The sequence below is a fragment of the Homo sapiens genome, chromosome 4 (assembly GCF_000001405.40).
Source record: "Homo sapiens chromosome 4, GRCh38.p14 Primary Assembly".
Taxonomy (NCBI): domain Eukaryota; kingdom Metazoa; phylum Chordata; class Mammalia; order Primates; family Hominidae; genus Homo; species Homo sapiens.
Genome location: NC_000004.12, coordinates 5,930,801 through 5,947,224, shown reverse-complemented (window position 1 = coordinate 5,947,224; position 16,424 = coordinate 5,930,801). Strand labels below are relative to the sequence as shown.

At 46.9% G+C, this 16,424-nt stretch overlaps 1 protein-coding gene across 4 annotated transcripts in view, besides 2 other annotated features; it reads left to right on the top strand.

Moving 5' to 3' along the window:
• Positions 1-16,424, top strand: part of C4orf50 (chromosome 4 open reading frame 50) — a 120,960-nt gene that overhangs the window by 71,322 nt on the left and 33,214 nt on the right. The window lies entirely within an intron of this gene.
• Positions 1,270-1,770: an enhancer, noted in NCBI's record as "H3K4me1 hESC enhancer chr4:5947182-5947682 (GRCh37/hg19 assembly coordinates)". NCBI's record gives its function as "activates a minimal SCP1, AML or CMV promoter by ChIP-STARR-seq in naive H9 embryonic stem cells {active_cell/tissue: H9 hESC(naive)}" and the evidence as "EXISTENCE:reporter gene assay evidence [ECO:0000049][PMID:30033119]".
• Positions 15,512-16,012: an enhancer, noted in NCBI's record as "H3K4me1 hESC enhancer chr4:5932940-5933440 (GRCh37/hg19 assembly coordinates)". NCBI's record gives its function as "activates a minimal SCP1, AML or CMV promoter by ChIP-STARR-seq in naive H9 embryonic stem cells {active_cell/tissue: H9 hESC(naive)}" and the evidence as "EXISTENCE:reporter gene assay evidence [ECO:0000049][PMID:30033119]".

Sequence of the window (16,424 nt, the reverse complement as noted above, 5' to 3'; positions counted from 1 at the left end):
GAGGTCACACAGCTCAGCTTCCTCATCTCATGAATGGGGTCTCAGCAGGAAAGAGGTGACTGAGGGAGTCTATTTGTTCAAATAATAAAAAGAATAAAATAATACATTACTGTTCAGAATATTCCACCTTTCATCTTAAATAGGTTCCATGAGTGAGTCGGTGGGAATTCTGATGGGGTGCAGGCCAAGCCTGTGACCTTCCCTGGCTGTCATCTTTATTGAAATGGTGGTCTCTCCAAGGGCACTGGCCAAGAGCACCATGTGTGTTATCACCTCCCACGTTGTTATATGTAAATGTATCTTCTGTAGTGCCACAAAGAAATAGCACTTGAACATAAATTTAATTCTCTCAGCAAGGCAATCTTTACTTTCTGCAGAAAGGGTGCTCATCGCAGATGTAATAATGGCGAGAGCACATCCGAACAAAGGAGGGAAGCAATTTTTATTCCTTATGCAGTTTGTCCCTGCTACTGTGTCCTGTCTCCATTGGCTGGAGCCAGACCGCACAATCTAAACTGAAACCCGATTGGCTAACAGTTTAAAACTTTTCTAAATAGGTAAAGGCAATAGAAAGACAAAGGAAAAGAGGAAGTTGCTTATGAAAGGACTTAGGAAAGTAATAACATTCCCAAATAAGGGAGGGGCATAGGCTGCAAGCTGGGACATGCCTGTGAGCATGTCCAGCTTGGACATCTTGGTTAAAGTACAAGGACATAGAATGTTCTACATGCCTGTGAGCATGTCTAGCATGAAGTTAGTCTTTAAAAGAAACTATTATTTCTAACACTTACGATTTATTCTTTAACGAGAAGGGAAACTTTGAAGAGGAACTTTTACTTTCTATACACATCTTTTATCATATTCAGCACAGGGGGTGCATTGAAGGTCTAGGGGTTTTGGGTTTGTGAAGAAGGCACTAAACCCTCCTGCCAGTCCTTTCCAGGCCCCCTCAAGCCCCAGCCTGGCTGCCGTCCTCCCACCCTGGGAGCTCCTTCTGCAGCTGACTGTGCACTCCTGGGAAGCAGAGGGTGTGTCCTGCTCAGGGGCAGGACAAGGGGTGAACAGGGTGGCAAGCGTGGGAAGCAGTGACCACCCTAGGTTCAGAGGGCGGGGAGAGGGCGCTGCCGCTCCTGGAGGCTGGGAGAGCTAGAGCCGGGGTCTGCCATAGAGGAGCCTGGCCTCTGCCAGACCTACTCCTGATGGGGTGGAGAGTAAGTTCTAGAGCCTTCTCTCCTCCCTTTCTCCAGCCTTCTCCTTGTGCCTCCCATTGGCTGAGCCCAGCTGGAAGTCAGAGGCCGAGGGAGCCAGGGACGTCATCCTTGGGGTCAGCCTCCTGGGGCCAGAGAATGGATGAAACTGGGGCCAAGAGGGCAGAACAACAGCCAGCAGGGCAGCCGAGTGTGAGAAAACACAGAGGGCAGATGCCCCGGCCCAGGGTCCAGCCCAGCCCAGGGCCCAGCCTGCCAGCTGGTCAAGAAAAATGCAGGTTTCCTTCAAATGATTAATAGAAGCAACTGAGATGGCAACAAGGAGGTTGATGGTTAGGAGGCAGGGGCCGGGGCAAGTCTGATCTGCACCTCCTTGGGCAGGCCTCACCCTTTGGGGCCTCTGTTTCCTCCTCTCCAAGGTGAAGGCCTTGGAAGAGATCCCACTGCCCCGACTCCACAGGGCCCTGCGACTCATTTTGCTTGTTAGATCCCATGTGGGTCTCCGATCTGCAGGTGCCAGGCTCACATTCACGAGCCATGTTTGTCAATGAAATCGGAGGTTTCCCCTCTCCCGGGTGCTGGCACTCTGGCCGGGCTACTTAAATGCAGGATAAGACACAGAAGAAAATGAAGTGAGTCCCCTGAGATGTGGCCTCAGCCAGGGCCTGGGTTCTAGCAGCTGTGGGGTCCCCCGGGAATGTGGGTACCAAGCTGAATCGTGAATAGCCCTGTGGGAAGATTGATTAAGATGTCATGCCGGTGCCAGGCAGTCAAATCCGAATGCTGCTTACTAAGGGAAACCCTCTCCTGCTGCTTCAGCTTATTTCATGCAGAGGGGACTGGGGGGCTCGGAGGACCTGGAGCTTCCTCCTCCCAGGAAGGGCCGCAAAACCCTCAGCCCAAGGCACCTCCCCATGCACGCTCCAGTGCTAGAGCCACTGGCCTGTGGAGAATCATTTTGGAAATGTGGGGACAGGCGTGGAGCCTTGGTGTGAATTCCAACCATGCCACTTACCAGCTACAAGACCTGGAGCAGGTGTCTTGGTGGCCCTGTGCCTCAGTTTCTTTCCGTGTGGAATAGACTTTGGTAAGGACTAAGTCAATCAGGCAGCAGGCTGGCTCATCCATCTTTGCTGCTTGGAAGTGTTAGTCCTCTCCTCTCTGATCTCCCTTTCCCGGGGAAGTCTTCCCAGACCCCTCCGCCCCAGGCCTCTGAACTGCCAGCTTCCATTTCCCACCGTGCCGCTGAGCCCTGTCCCAGCTGCCCTCTTCTGTTTCCTTGTCCCTGCCTGTCTCCCAGCAGGCTGCCTGCTCCTTAAGGGCGTGGGTGCATCTGGTTCATGTGGGTACCAAGCTAAATCTTTATCCTCCATCCCAGCACAGGCCAGGCGTGGGGGGTGCTGCTTCCTCCACTGGAGCTTCCAGAAGGTTCTCCGAGGTATGAACCAAGGTGTGGCTTGTGATCACCAGCTATAGTGAAGAGTGGGCCATGTGACTCTGGACCATGTTTTCTCTCTGAGGGCTGCCCCCTCGCTCACTCCTTCTATTTGTCTCATCGATCATTTCATTCCACATAGTTTCACCTAGTGTCTCCAAGGTGCCAGGGAGCACAGGATAGTGGGAGAACTCCTGGGGGGCAGAGAATGAAGGAGAGAGAGAATGAGACAGAGTCATGAGCCGTATAAACAAGTCATTCCCCTGCAGAGGACTGAGGGGCAAGAAGGGGCCTCCAGCCTTCATGGAGGGGCTGAGGGAGGAATTCCCCAGGGAAAGCCAGGAGAAGCTGAGAGCCCAGCCTTTGAGAGAAGAAGGGAGCTTAGAGACTGTCCACTATGACTCTCCATGGGGAGGGAGGAACCAGGAGGCCAGGGAAGCTCGATGCCCAGAGCGCAGGTATTGTGACTTCCTCGCCAGGGCTTTGTGTGTCTATTTGTCTCTGTATGTCAGAGACATGTGGCAAGAGAGACAGGGTTCAGATGGGGGCTGCCAGAGGCCTCCCAAAGAGCCTGTTGTGGGACTGCCCAGCTGTAACATGACAGGTAAGCAAGGACTGCTTGAGGGAGACCTTTGGCCCCCACTGTCTGGCCATGCCCTGTCAGCATCCATCTTTGTATCTAGATAGCTGTAGGGGGTTTATCTTCACTCTCAAAAGGAATTCGTCGTTTAAGGAAATAAGATGAAGTCCGATGAGTCTAATCTTACACAGGGCAGTGCTTGCTAATTGAGTGTGATTTCTGGAGCTGATAAGGGAGTATTGTCAGGTTCTCAATTTCCTGTCCTTGTTCTGACTTCTACGTCTTGGGTGTGTTAGAGGCTTCATAGCCGAGACACTCAAAAGTACTTCCTGCCTCTCAGATAGGAATTCACAGTTTGTAAAGCGTCTCTTGATGTGTGCTCTTGTTTGATTCTCACAGCTGTGAGGAGAGAGGAACAAGAAAGAGGATACCCATTTTGCAGATAAGGAAACTGAGGCACAGTGAGGTCTGGGAATCTTCCCAAGATCACACAGTTGGGGTGAAGGGGAGAGGCTGGTTTTCCTCTGATCCCCCAGCTCCCTGGAATTCGGACCTTCAGGCTGTCCCAGAGTTCACCCCTGGTGCTTGGACATCAGTGCAAAGGTGCATAGCCAGTAAAATCTAAAAATTAAATGTGGCTATTCCAAATGTGAACCCCTGGGAAAACTCAGGGGCTTAGCTTCAAAGTGAATGCAAAGAAACAGAACCATGAAGATACTGTTCGGTTCTGTTGTGTTCAGAACAGTTTTAGAAAAGATGTGATCACTTTAAGAAGAAGCCTACTGCGGGTGCCTAACGGACACGTAGCATCACGGAAACAGCTGCCGCTTCTGTGAGGAACGAGGCCAAATGTTTATTGAGCATCGATTCTGGCTCAGGCTAGAAGTTTTCCAAGATCCTGCCTGGAACACTAGGATAATCAAATATCCTTTCATATATGCCTAGTGCCTAACCAAGCCTGGCACAGCAGAGAGAAAGAAACATATTTTAAACAACATTTTTCTGCTTATAAAAATTAATATATACGTATTTGAGTGAATTTGGAAAATTAAAAAAATAAAGTGACAAAAACACATGGAATTCCACCAGTAAGAGATGTTCATTTTCAACATTTTGACATTTATCCTTACGCATCCAGGCTTTTTGAAAAACGAGATCATACTGTATGTGATGATATTTAAAGCATTTCTCATTCAACATGCAGTATTGACATGCTATTTTATAGGGACAGGATAGCATGTTGGTTAAGATAATGGATTCTGGAATAGTCTCTCAAGCTGTGGGCAAGTTCTTAATCCCTTTGTGCCTCCATTTCTTCCTAAATAAAATGGGGATAAGAGCAGCACCTTTTTTATACTCTTGTAGGAGTAAACAAACTAAATATGTAAAGTGCTTAGAACAGGGCCTGGCATAGAGCAAGTTTTCACTAAATATTTGATGTTATTATTATTTCAGTAAAATTATTTAAGCCTCCCTCCCTCATCCCCACTACTTACTTTGTGCTGGGCATTTTCCAAGGTCTTTTCACACATGCTGTCACATTGAATTTCTAAATGATGCCAAGAAACTGATATTGCCTCCCATTTCACAGATGTTGAAACTGAAACTTGGAGCAGACAAGTCACTTGCCAAGTCATACAGGGATCAGCAAAGCCAGAATCAAACCCCTTTGGGTCCTGTATGACCCCCAAGCCCTTGGACTGTGCCCAGACCACCCTGCTCCTGATCTTAGCTCTAAGCAAACCAGATTGGCACTGTGGATGCTGCTATTGATTTGTCTGGCGTTGATTGTTACTGCTACCTGGGGTTGTGTATGTAGGAAAGGAGGCCTTTTCAGTCCATTTGTAACCCACCCCACACCTCTGATGATTTCAAATCAACTGCTACCTCTCCCTAAAGCTTCCTTAGGCAGCTGGGACTGAGATTCCTCCAGGAGCAACCCTTTCTCCAGTGTCTGGTAGATGCCTGGCATTCCACAAATGCATGCACAATTGAGCTGAAAGCCACTTTTAAAAAATAAACATTGATAATTGGAGGCGCTTTTGGGACTGAAACCAAAACCCAAGAAAGACAAAGAAAGGAAATGGGGTATTTCATTTAGAGAAGACTTGGAACCTACCGCCCCAAGGAGTACCTAGTGAAAGTGAGAGGAGGAGGAGTCCCATTGTAAATTGGAAAAAGCCTTGGCCTGGCGCCAGGCCAACCTTAGTTCCAATCCCTGTGTGACCTTGAGTGAGTTTATTCCCCTCAGCCTCCTCCGTACAATGGGGACAAGGCTGCAGTGAGGAAAATAGGAGAGAATGTGTTTGGACTGTTTAGCGTGTGCTGGGCCTGAGTTTAGACTCTTAAGAGCAGAAGCCGTGTCTTCTGTGTTGTAGAAATTGGTGCCCTTAATTTCTAGAAAAGTATTGGGCACACTGCAGGCATGAGGAAATGTTATTGGACAAATGAATACTTAACAAATAGATGTTAGTTTCTCTCTACCTATCGTCTTACACAGGTACCAGGGAATAGTTAGGAGGATGAGAGATGAGGGTGTGGGAAGTTGGGGGATGAGATGGTAGAATAAGAGAGAAGCAATGTAAGGAGTAGCAACGGGTGCAGGAACCAGAACCAGCATGCCAGAGTTCCGGTCTCAGCTCTGCTGCTGGCAAGCTCTGCAACTGTAGCCAAGTTGCCTCATCTCTTGGGGTCTCAATTTCCTTGTGAGCAAATAGGGACAATGATAGTACTTAACTCGCAGTGTTGTTGTCAGAATGACAAGAGCTTTAAACTTATAAAACACTCAGCATAGACTCTGGCACAAAGGAAGCACCCAATTAATGTAAATCATCATCATCATTATCAGAACATTTTATTAATTAGAAGAAAGAAGATAAATTAGATATGATTGAGTAATAAACCACCCTAAAGCTCACTGGCTTAAAGTCACAACCATTTTATATATTCATGTATACACATTAGATGTAGATTGGCTCTGCAGGGTGGTTTTCAGCTGGTCTCACTTGGGTCATTCATCAGATAGTTCTACTGGGGCTGAGTAGTCTAGGAGGGCTTTGTGTCTGGCCATTGGTGCTAGGCATCAGTTGACTGTTTTTTCAGCTAGAATGCTCATTTCTGCTCCAAGTATCCTCTCAGCCTCCAGAAACTAGCTCAGGTTTCTGCATATGGTGGTCTAAAGGCATGGTTCCAAAAGAGAGAGCAGGAGCTTCAAGGTCTCCTGAGGCCCAGGCTCAAATCTCCCACGGCGTCACTTCTGCATCTTTCTATTGGTCTAAGCATGTGGCAAGGCCAGTCCAGGGTGTGGAGAACCAGACTCCACCTCTAGCTGGGAGGGGCAGGGGAGTCACATTACAAATGAATGTGCACACAGAGGTGGGAGGGATTCTTGCAACCAGCTTTGCAAACAGTCCTTCACTGGCAGGAAATGACATTTTTGAGGCCCTGATTACTTACCAGGCACTTCAGCTTCCACAGATGTTATCCACATAGCAAAATGTTGAGGCGAGGACTTCACTGTCACCAGGAATACTATATTCAGGCCAACTCTGCCAAGCCATTAAGGCATCTGATATGGTGGGATTCAGGCTGCAGATCAGGGCCTGGGGGAAGGGCACCTGGGTTCTTTCTGTCAGTGAGAATTGCAGAATTCTAGGAAAACCATAATAGTATAATGAATTACAAATAAGAAGGAAGATTTCTATCAAGTGTGTCAACTGAATGATGAGGTTCATACATTTGGAAAGGAGGGCTTTATTTCCCATAAAGGATTGCAGCCTGCAGGGTGGCCATTCTGGCAGGCTAGGGAGCATAACCTCTGGCCAGAAGCCAGAAACAGACACTTCCAGTGAGGGACAAAGAGAACAGAAATTTATGCTGAGTTGGGTGGCCAAATATACATATTTAATTAGCTATGGGAGGAGTCATGAATATTTATGAAGGGAGAAACACGCACATGTGCAACTGAGCTTCATGCTTTTCCATGGGACCCACGTTCAAAAATGGCAGCATTAGCATGATCCGAGGGTGTTTTCAGCCGTCTGACATCAAAAAGTGGGGCAGAGGATGCAAAAACCCTTTCTGCATGTTGTCGGTAGACTGGCCAGAACCACTGCATGGTTGGTGGTCTCTTATCACTGCTGAAGCAGTGAAGACTAAAGGAGCCAAATCCTGGAGAGGGGAGATCTTCTGAGAGTCAGTGCTGCTCTCCTGCTGGGGTTTTCTGCAGTCTGGGGACAGGGGACAGGGCTGAGGATCCAGGCCTGGTTCAGTGCAATGACCATTGATGGGGATGGAGAGACAAATTAGAGACTTCAGGGGCTTCAAAGGCCAGGGTGGGTTTCTCCTCCAGACGTTTGCCACATTCCAAAGCTGTGCAGGGTGGGGAGTAGGAAATGGAATGAGAAAGCCTCTGAACAGCAGAGCAGAGTTTTCCATAGTCTAGATGTCCAGAAGAAAAGGATCAATGTCGAGGCTCTGCTGGAGCAGCCGTCAGTGAGCACACTGGGCTCTCACCTGGCTGCTGTTGATATTTGACCCCATGGTGCCCTCAAAGCCAAGGGGGAGTTTCAAATAGAGAAGGACTTCTTGTAGTTTAGGGAGACCATTTTGGATCCCTGTGGAGAAAAGATTGAAAGAGATGGGAAACTAATGGAGAGGGGACAGTGACAGAGGATGTTGCCTGGTTGTGGATAATGGCTGATGGGCAGGTGGTGACTGGTATATTCCATTTCTTTCTTTCTTTCTTTCTTTTTTTTTGAGACAGAGTTTCAGTCTTGTTGCCCATGCTGGAGTGCAATGGCGCGATCTCGGCTCACTGCAACCTCTGCCTCCCAGGTTCAAGCGATTCTCCTGCCTCAGCCTCTGGAGTAGCTGGGATTACATAGGTGCCCGCCAACACCCAGCTAATTTTTTGTATTTTTGGTAGAGATGGGGTTTCACCATGTTGGCCAGGCTGGTCTTGAACTCCTGACCTCGGGTGATCCCCCTGCCTTGGCCTCCCAAAGTGCTGGGATTACAGGCATGAGCCACTGAGCCCTGCCCCCATTTCTTTCATAAATCAAAAAAGCAGAGAAGCATGAGCAGGCAGAGGAAGGCAAGCTATTTGATGGAGACGCCATCTGTCACAGCAGCAAACTTGGGAGGATTAGGGGAAAGCAAAGGTGGAAAAGACACATCATTTGTCTTAAATGATAAAAAAAAAAAAGAAAAGAAAAAAAACTGACATCACATTATGAAAGGAGTTTGATAGATTTTGAAATGGGAGAGAAGAATTTGTCTTGATTAGTGTGATATTAAGTAGAATTAAAACTGAGGACAGGTTCAAATTAAATATAAAAAAGGTTATCTGAGACTTGGAGATTAATCAGCTCATCCATCTCATTTGAGGAAACTGAGGCCCAGGGAGAAAAAAAAATGGCCTGTTCAAGGGACCTAGTAAACTGATTACAAAACCACCCTAATATTGTTTCTTATTCAATGCTGGGAAGGCTTGTCTTTCCCCATCCTAAGGCCACCTCCTTAGATCAGAGGGCCCCTCCCGCTGTGACCCTTGGATCCTTGGGGCCTACTTAGGACATTGTCATTGTTAACTTGTTGGAGGAGGTTATTGAAGAGAGAGCCCCTTGGTGACAAAGACTCTATGATTCTCCTAATTCCTGTTATGGTCCCTTTGATCCATGAGTCATTTAGAAGGATACTTTCAAATTCTTAATATGTGGGATTTTCTGTATTTTGTTCTTATTATTTATGTTTTAATTCCATCGTAACCAGAGAATATGGTTCATATAATTTCCATTTTTTTTACTTGTCAAGGCTTGCTCTATTTCCAAGATTATAACTGCATTTGGCAATGTTCCATGTATGTTTGAAAATATTACGTATTTGGCTATTATACTAATGTTTCAGACTTTATATATACGTCCATTACATGAAACTTGTTCATTGTGGTCTTCAAATTTTCTTTGATTCCTCATTGGTACATTTGTTTGCTTGATCTGTCAAGTTCTGAGGAAGATGTGTTTAAATACCCAACTATGGCGATTCTGTTTCTAATTTTCTTAGTTTTGCCTTATACATTTTGAGGCTATATTATTAATATTTAGTGCAGTCTAGTATTTTTCTATTATACCATGAATCTTTGTTTTACAATTAGGTAGTAACCTTTGTTATCTTTAATAATGTTTTGCGATTTTGAGTCTATTTTGTTTAATGTCAATATGGTTATTCTGAGTTTCTTGGGCTAGTATTTGCTTGGTACACCTTTTCCCATTATTTTACAGTCAATCCTTCTCTGTCTTTATATTTTTAGTATGTCTCTGTTAACAGCATATAGCTGTATTTTAAATTTTTTAAGCTTACAACAATCCTTGTCTTTTAAATGGAAAGTTTAGTCCATTATAATGATTATGATAACTGATATATGTATATCATAATATATACATTATAGCTGACAAATATATGTATATTTATCCGTCATCTTACTGTGTGCTTACTGTTTACCCTGCCTTTGCTATGCTTCTGATTTTTCACTTTTCTTGCTTTGTATGAAACTGATTAAGTTTTCTTTATTCTACTTTTCACCCTAGGTGTACATTATATTTCCATTATTTTAGTGGCTACCCTTTAACGTTTCAAAGTGCATTCTTGGCTTGGCATCTCTAACTTCCTCACGCACAGAGAATCCTAAGAAGGCTTTAATTTTCATACCTCCCCTTGCATCTTTTATGTTTCCCAGGAATATATTTTCACTCTATTTTTATACTTTTCACATGAGCCACTATTATTATTTTATATAGTTAATACTTTTTTAGATTTACCAGTTTCTTTAGTTGCCGTTCTTTCTTGTATTTTTTTTTCTTTTGAGTTTAGTTTAGTTCTCCCTGGAGCACATTCCTTACTAGTATTCTTTTAGCAAGGCATTTAGCAGTAAAAACCTCTCAGTCTTTGCCTGAGAATGTCATTATTTTTTTTTTATGGTTAGGTGATCATTTAGCTTCATATAGAATTCTAGATTCTCTATTATTTCTTCTTGGTGGTATGACAATGCTATTCCACTGTCTTCTGGCTTTCATGAAGACGCCTGTTATTGCTGTAACTGCCATGTACTTTTAGGTAATCAATTTCTCTCTCTCTGATTGCTTTTAGCATCTTCTATTTGTCTTTGTGATTCTGGAGTTCTGCTATAAGACATATATTCATTTTTATCTATCCTACCTGGGGTTCATGATTTCTGAATCTGAGAATTTGTATCTTTCAGCATTTCTGAAAAATTCTGTTATATATTTGAATATTACACCTTCAACCCCTTGTCTTTTCTTTCCTTCTGAAACTCATGTTAAGTTTTAGACTGACTCAATTTTTTCCTCTGTGGCTCATAACCTCTATATCTAACTTATGTCTAACTCTGTCTGTCTTTCTTTTTTTTTTTTTTTTTTTTTGAGATGGCGTCTTGCCATTGTTGCCCAGGCTGGAGTGCAGTGGTGCGATCTCGGCTCACTGCAGCCTTCACCTCCTGGGTTCAAGCAATTCTCCTGCATCAGCCTCCTGAGTAGCTGGGATTAGAGGCGCCCGCCACCACGACTGGATAATTTTTGTATTTGCAGTAGAGACAGGGTTTCACCATGTTGACCAGGCTGGTCTCCAACTCCTGACTTCAGGTGATCCACCCGCCTCGGCCTCCCAAAGTGCTGGGATTACAGGCATGAGCCACCGCACCCATCCTCTTTCTGTCTTTCTAAGCTATATTCTAGGTAATTTCATTAGATAAATCCTGAAGCTCATTTTTTTTTTTTCCTGCAGCATGAAGACTCTGTAGCCAGACTGTTGGGGATTAAATCCAGGCCGTGTGATCTTTCTGTACTTTAGTTTCATCATCTTTAAAGTGGGAGTTCCAACTACTACCAAAGTGGGTTCCTTCCACCTACCTACCAAAATAACCTAAAATTATTTTAAGGTTAAATAAATCCATATAGATAAAGCTCTTAGAGTTGTACTGTCCCATCATAAGTGCCGTATCCAAGTTAGTTAGACATTACCTTAATTATGTTAAGAATCCACTTTATGGTCTCTATTCAATAGTTCTACTATTTGATGTTCTTGGGGGAACTTAACCTTCCTGACAAATACATCTTATGTCTTCATTCATAAAGGATTGTTTTCTTGGGCGTTTTGTAATGTTGGCCTCTGGGGCTTTTTTTTTTTTTTTTTTTTTTTTTTAGACGGAGTCTCCCTCTGTCGCCCAGCCTGGAGTGCAATGGCGCAATCTCGGCTCACTGCAGCCTCCACCTCCCGGGTTCAAGTGATTCTCCTGCCTCAGCCTCCCGAGTAGCTGGGACTATAGGCGCCCGCCACCACACCCAGCTAATTTTTGTATTTTTAGTACAGACGGGGTTTCACTATGTTGGCCAGGCTGGCCTCGAACTCCTGACCTCGTTATCCGCCTGCCTTGACCTCCCAAAGTGCTGGGATCACAGTCATGAGCCACCACACCCAGCCCTGGGGATTTATCTATAGGAATCCTGTGTGTTTCAGCATCAGCCCCAAATATATCACAGGCTCAAGGGAGTTCAACCCCAAATTCCCATGAGATATAGGGCTATGGTTACATCTTCTTAAGGATGGCTTTTTTCTCTTCACCTAGAACTCAAGCCAGGACAAACTTCCTCTCTATCTTCTAATTCCCCCTGTTACTGGGGGCGTAGCCCTCCAAGGACCTTGGCTCAGTTCCAGCTCCCTGACTCTGTCTGCGTCCATGTCGAACTGCATCCCCTGGTTTACAGAGGCCAGGGCAGCCTTCCAGGAGTGGCAGTGGCACCATTGCTCATGTGGGTTTTCCTTTACTGACCTGTGAGAACTGCTCCTCCTGTAGAAGAAAAAATAAGGCCATGTTAACTGCAGTAATTATGAACCTAGAGCTTCCTGTGTGCCAAGTGCTGTTCTAAGCAGTTTCCATATTTTAACTCATTTAGCCTTCATGACAACTGTATCTGCGCACTATTAACCATGTTTTACAGCTGGAGAAACTGAAGCACAGAGCTGCTAAGTAACTTGCTTGGGGTCACCCAGCCAGAAGTGTAGGGAGCTGGGATTTGAACCCAGGCAGTTTAGGGTCACGTGTATGCACTTAAGCCTATACCAGGCTGCATCTCAGGCTATAGAAAGACACTTTGCCTGGTTCCTGGCCCATGATAGTGAGTACACAATAATAGCTGTTGGCATTTTTATGATAAATGCCATCATTATTGTTGTTGCTATTGTTATTTACAAGTAAACCCTCGTTCTAGGCTTCAGGAGCTCACGGGCCAGGACAGCCAGACACACATGGAAGGGAGGCTTGTGCTCCAGCCTGGCTATGGCAAGTGTGCAGGGCCTGTAGCTGGCCTGGGGCAGGTGGTTTGGAGCTGAGGAAAAAGCATGGGTGAAGAACATGCCAGGAGTTAAGTGGGGCCGGGAGGAGGGTGCAGGGAGGAGTGGCAGGACACAGAGAAAAGGTAGACAGGGGCCAGACGGCAGAGGACTCTTGAGCCAGACCAGCGAGCCTGGAGCTTCTCCTGCAGGGATGACAAGCCACACAAAGTCCTTTTGTGGAGGAGTGGAGTTTGATTTATTTAAAATGCTAAACTCTGTGCTGAGTTTTCCAATATGAGGAAGCTTGCAGAGGAATCTGCAGGCAATGCTGTCTGAGCAGGAAGAGAACAACAACAGCGAGGACCTGGAAAGGACCAATGTGTGTGGGTGGTCGTGGAGTTTCAGAGCAGCCGTGACTCCTGTGTCGCCGCCAAACACTGTCCACCTCGCCTTACCATGCAGCCGTCTACTCTCTACAGCCATCCAGTGAGCTGCTCACCCCTTCTTACAGATGAGGAGACCGAGGTGCAGGGAGGCGAAGTGAATTGCCAGGGGCTGTGTTGGAGTGGGAAGATGTCTAAGCCTGTGTCCTTAACCCTACACCACGCTGCTGCTCCAGTTTTAGAAGAAAAGAGTAGGGAGGTGATTCTCGCTCACAGACACCCTTCTCTCTCTTCCTGCTTCTGCTCTCCTCTCTGTCATCTCTTCCTTCCCTCTCCTCTTCCTGTCTCGTCCTCTCCTGACCTCCTCCTCCCACTCCTCTCCCCAACAGTCTTGTCACCAGGACCCCCACATTGGCTTTTATTCTATCTTGGAGGGGACTTCACTATCCCTGGCTCACTCCCATGCCTCCCAGGGGTGCGTCAGTGCAGGTCTTGGGAACAGTGTCCTTCAAGGGGGTCTGGGCCAGAGGGGACCTTGCTATGCCTAGCCCATTTCCCATGGGCACCCGAGCTCCGCAGGGAGGCACGACCGTAGTCAAAACAACTCCTGCTGAGTACGCCCCTAACCCCCAGCTCACTTAGTAGCAGACATTAGAGGGTCTGTGCTGGCCGAGTGCTGGTGTCAGGGACATGGGGATGAGCCACATAGCTCCAGCCCTCAGGGACTCCAGCCACCTGAGCAGGTAACTGGCGTGGAGTCTGGTGTGTACCAGTGTGTGCTGGGAAAGCCCAGAGTCAGGGGTCAGCCCCACAGCAGATGGGGAATATGGGAGTAGGGACGGGAGGTGGAGGCAGGAGCTGCCATTCATAGAGGCTGGAGAAGTAGGAAAATCCCCATCCCAAAGTTCTGTGAGTGGCAGACTCGGGACCTTGGATCTTTTCCCAGAATCAGTAGGGAGCCTTCCAGAGTTTCTAAGTGGGGTGGTAGTGAGCAAACATTGCGCTTGTGTTCCATGAAGCTAATATTCAAAAGCACTCTTGACAAAGTGTTTTCACATGCATCCCAGCATCTGATCCTTCTTCCACCCTCTGTGAGAGACGAGGGCAGCTAAGATATGACATGGAAGAAAAGATCCAGAGGCAGAGAGGAGGCTTGTTAGGATTGCTTAGGATGCACAAGACAACACCAGGCTCCCGTCCAGGGCTCTGGTGTCAGGGTCCTGATCCCTGGTGCTGGGAGCAACTCTTCTGAGGAGAAATTTGTTTACAAAAATTATAAGGCAGAGAGAAAATGACGGTCTTTAATATTAATGATAATATGGTTTCCGCCATTTATTGAGTGGCTGCTGTATGCCAGGAGCTGCACCACCATTATAAATGCACTATCTCATTTAAACCCTGTAACAATTTGTGAAGCTAACTAGTAATATTCTCCTCTGTGCAGAAGGAAACTGAAGTTCAAAAAAGATGCCTTCTATTTCTGCTGATCTGGGATTGAAATCCAGCTCTCTTGCTTTTTTAATACTGTAATGTGGGTGCAGTGACTCACACCTGTTATCTCAGCACTTTGGGAGGCTGAGGTAAGAGAATTGCCTGAGCCCAAGAGTTCAAGACCAGCCTGAGCAAGGCAGGGGGACTCCATCTCTATAAAAAATTAAAAAATAAAAATTAGCTGGGCGTGGTTGCATGCACCTGTAGTTGCAGCTACTCAGGAGGCTGAGGCGGGAGGATCAATTGAGCCTGGGAGGTCGAGGCTGCAGTGAACTGTGATGGAGCCACGGCACTCCAGCCAGGCTCCAAAACAAACAAACACTGTAATGTTCCCACCACAGTCTGATGCCTTCCTTCTCCAGGTAGATGATCACCTGGTCACCTCAGGTTCAGGACTTGGGCACCAGGACAGCACCAGGCAAGCTGTCCGCTGCCTGCCTCCCTCTTTGATGGCTGGATTCTTTACGGAGCCCAGCCTCGCTACTCATGTGCGTGCTCCATAAATGGGCCAAGGAAAGAGTGTGCCAGAGTAGAAATGCGACACGCTTCTGCTCTGTGGGGCATTCAGCCAAGAACTGTGTGCATGGTTCACCTGCCTGTGAAGATAGCCAGCCAGTGGGTTTACACCTGGCAGGTTAGTGAGTTACACCTGCCTTCCTCAGCTGAGAGGGGGGCAAGAGGCCAAACATTGCACGGAAATTAGAGACAGTTGGCAGGGGTGGGGGGCGGGGGGGCGTTGGGAAGAGCTTAGCATTTTGGGGTCAGGTGACAACTCTCCGTAAATACTGAGCTGGTGACATTGCCTGTCTTCTCCTCTGCCCTTCTGCGTGGCTTGCACAATTTGGCTCCCCTTTCCAGCCTCGGCTTCCCCTTCTCTGTGTGCTCTGCTGATTTTCTGGAATCAATGAATAGAAGGAGGAAGTGACATTGAATGAGACAGTGACACCCCGGGGTGGTGATTTCTGTGTCAAAGCCTAAAGGAGAGCCTGGATCCACGGGGAAGATGGGAGGGAGGGGTGTGCAAACCTTAGGCTCCTCAGAAGCCTTCCTGGAGGAGGCAGAGCTGAACGAGAGGGATCCCCCTGCAGAGAGGGTGGAGTGGGCCTCCCCGTCAGACATCACAAGGGCTGCTGATGGCTAGTGTGTGGAAGGACAGGAGGAAAACAGCCGCGCAGAGCCTGTGTTTGGAGCGTGGAAACATGGCAGTCTAGAAGGGCAGAGGGCAGGTTTCTAGTTCAGCTCAGCCTCGCCAGGGCTGCATGACCTTGGGGAAAATTGCTCTGTGTTTTTAGACTTCCTTTGTCTCTTCTGTGACATGAGAATCCTGGTAAATCACTTTATCTTCGCACCTGAGAAACTGACAGTGAAAAGTTTTTGCAAACCATAAAACTCTGTTCAAATGCAAAGATGTGTTCTTCTACATGGGAAACCAACACCACTCCTAGATTCCCTAACTGATACTTACTAGGTGTCCCTTGCACTGTGCATCAGTGTTTGGGGGCCGCCTCTTGGTTCTCTTTCCTTTGCCCTGAATACAAACCCCTGAGGTCATGGGAACACACCAGCCAAGTAGCCTGGACTTTGAGTCTGCAGGGACTCTTTGCAGGGGCTGTTTTCAGCTCAGCCCCAGTCTTGGCGAGTTCCTTTTCAGCTGGGCCTGACAGAGTTGGATTCCAGTGACCTGCAGGATCCGGGACATGGCTCTTTCATCCTAGTCTCACTGGGACAGATTTAGGCTCTCCCACTTTCATGTGAGCTTTGCCAGCTGGACCTGAACTGTTTGCTCATTTATGCACGAGGCGTTTGTGCACTCCTGGCCGGGACTGTCCCTCCCTTCTTTCCTTCTTTATCCCGTTACCCCTTTGCCTCTCCGCTTCCCAGCACTCTTCTTCCACTTATGTCTTTCAACATTTTGAGGAGTACCTGCCAGGCCCATGCTGGGCATCATGGACAGCAGAGGTGAATCTAAGCATGGTCCC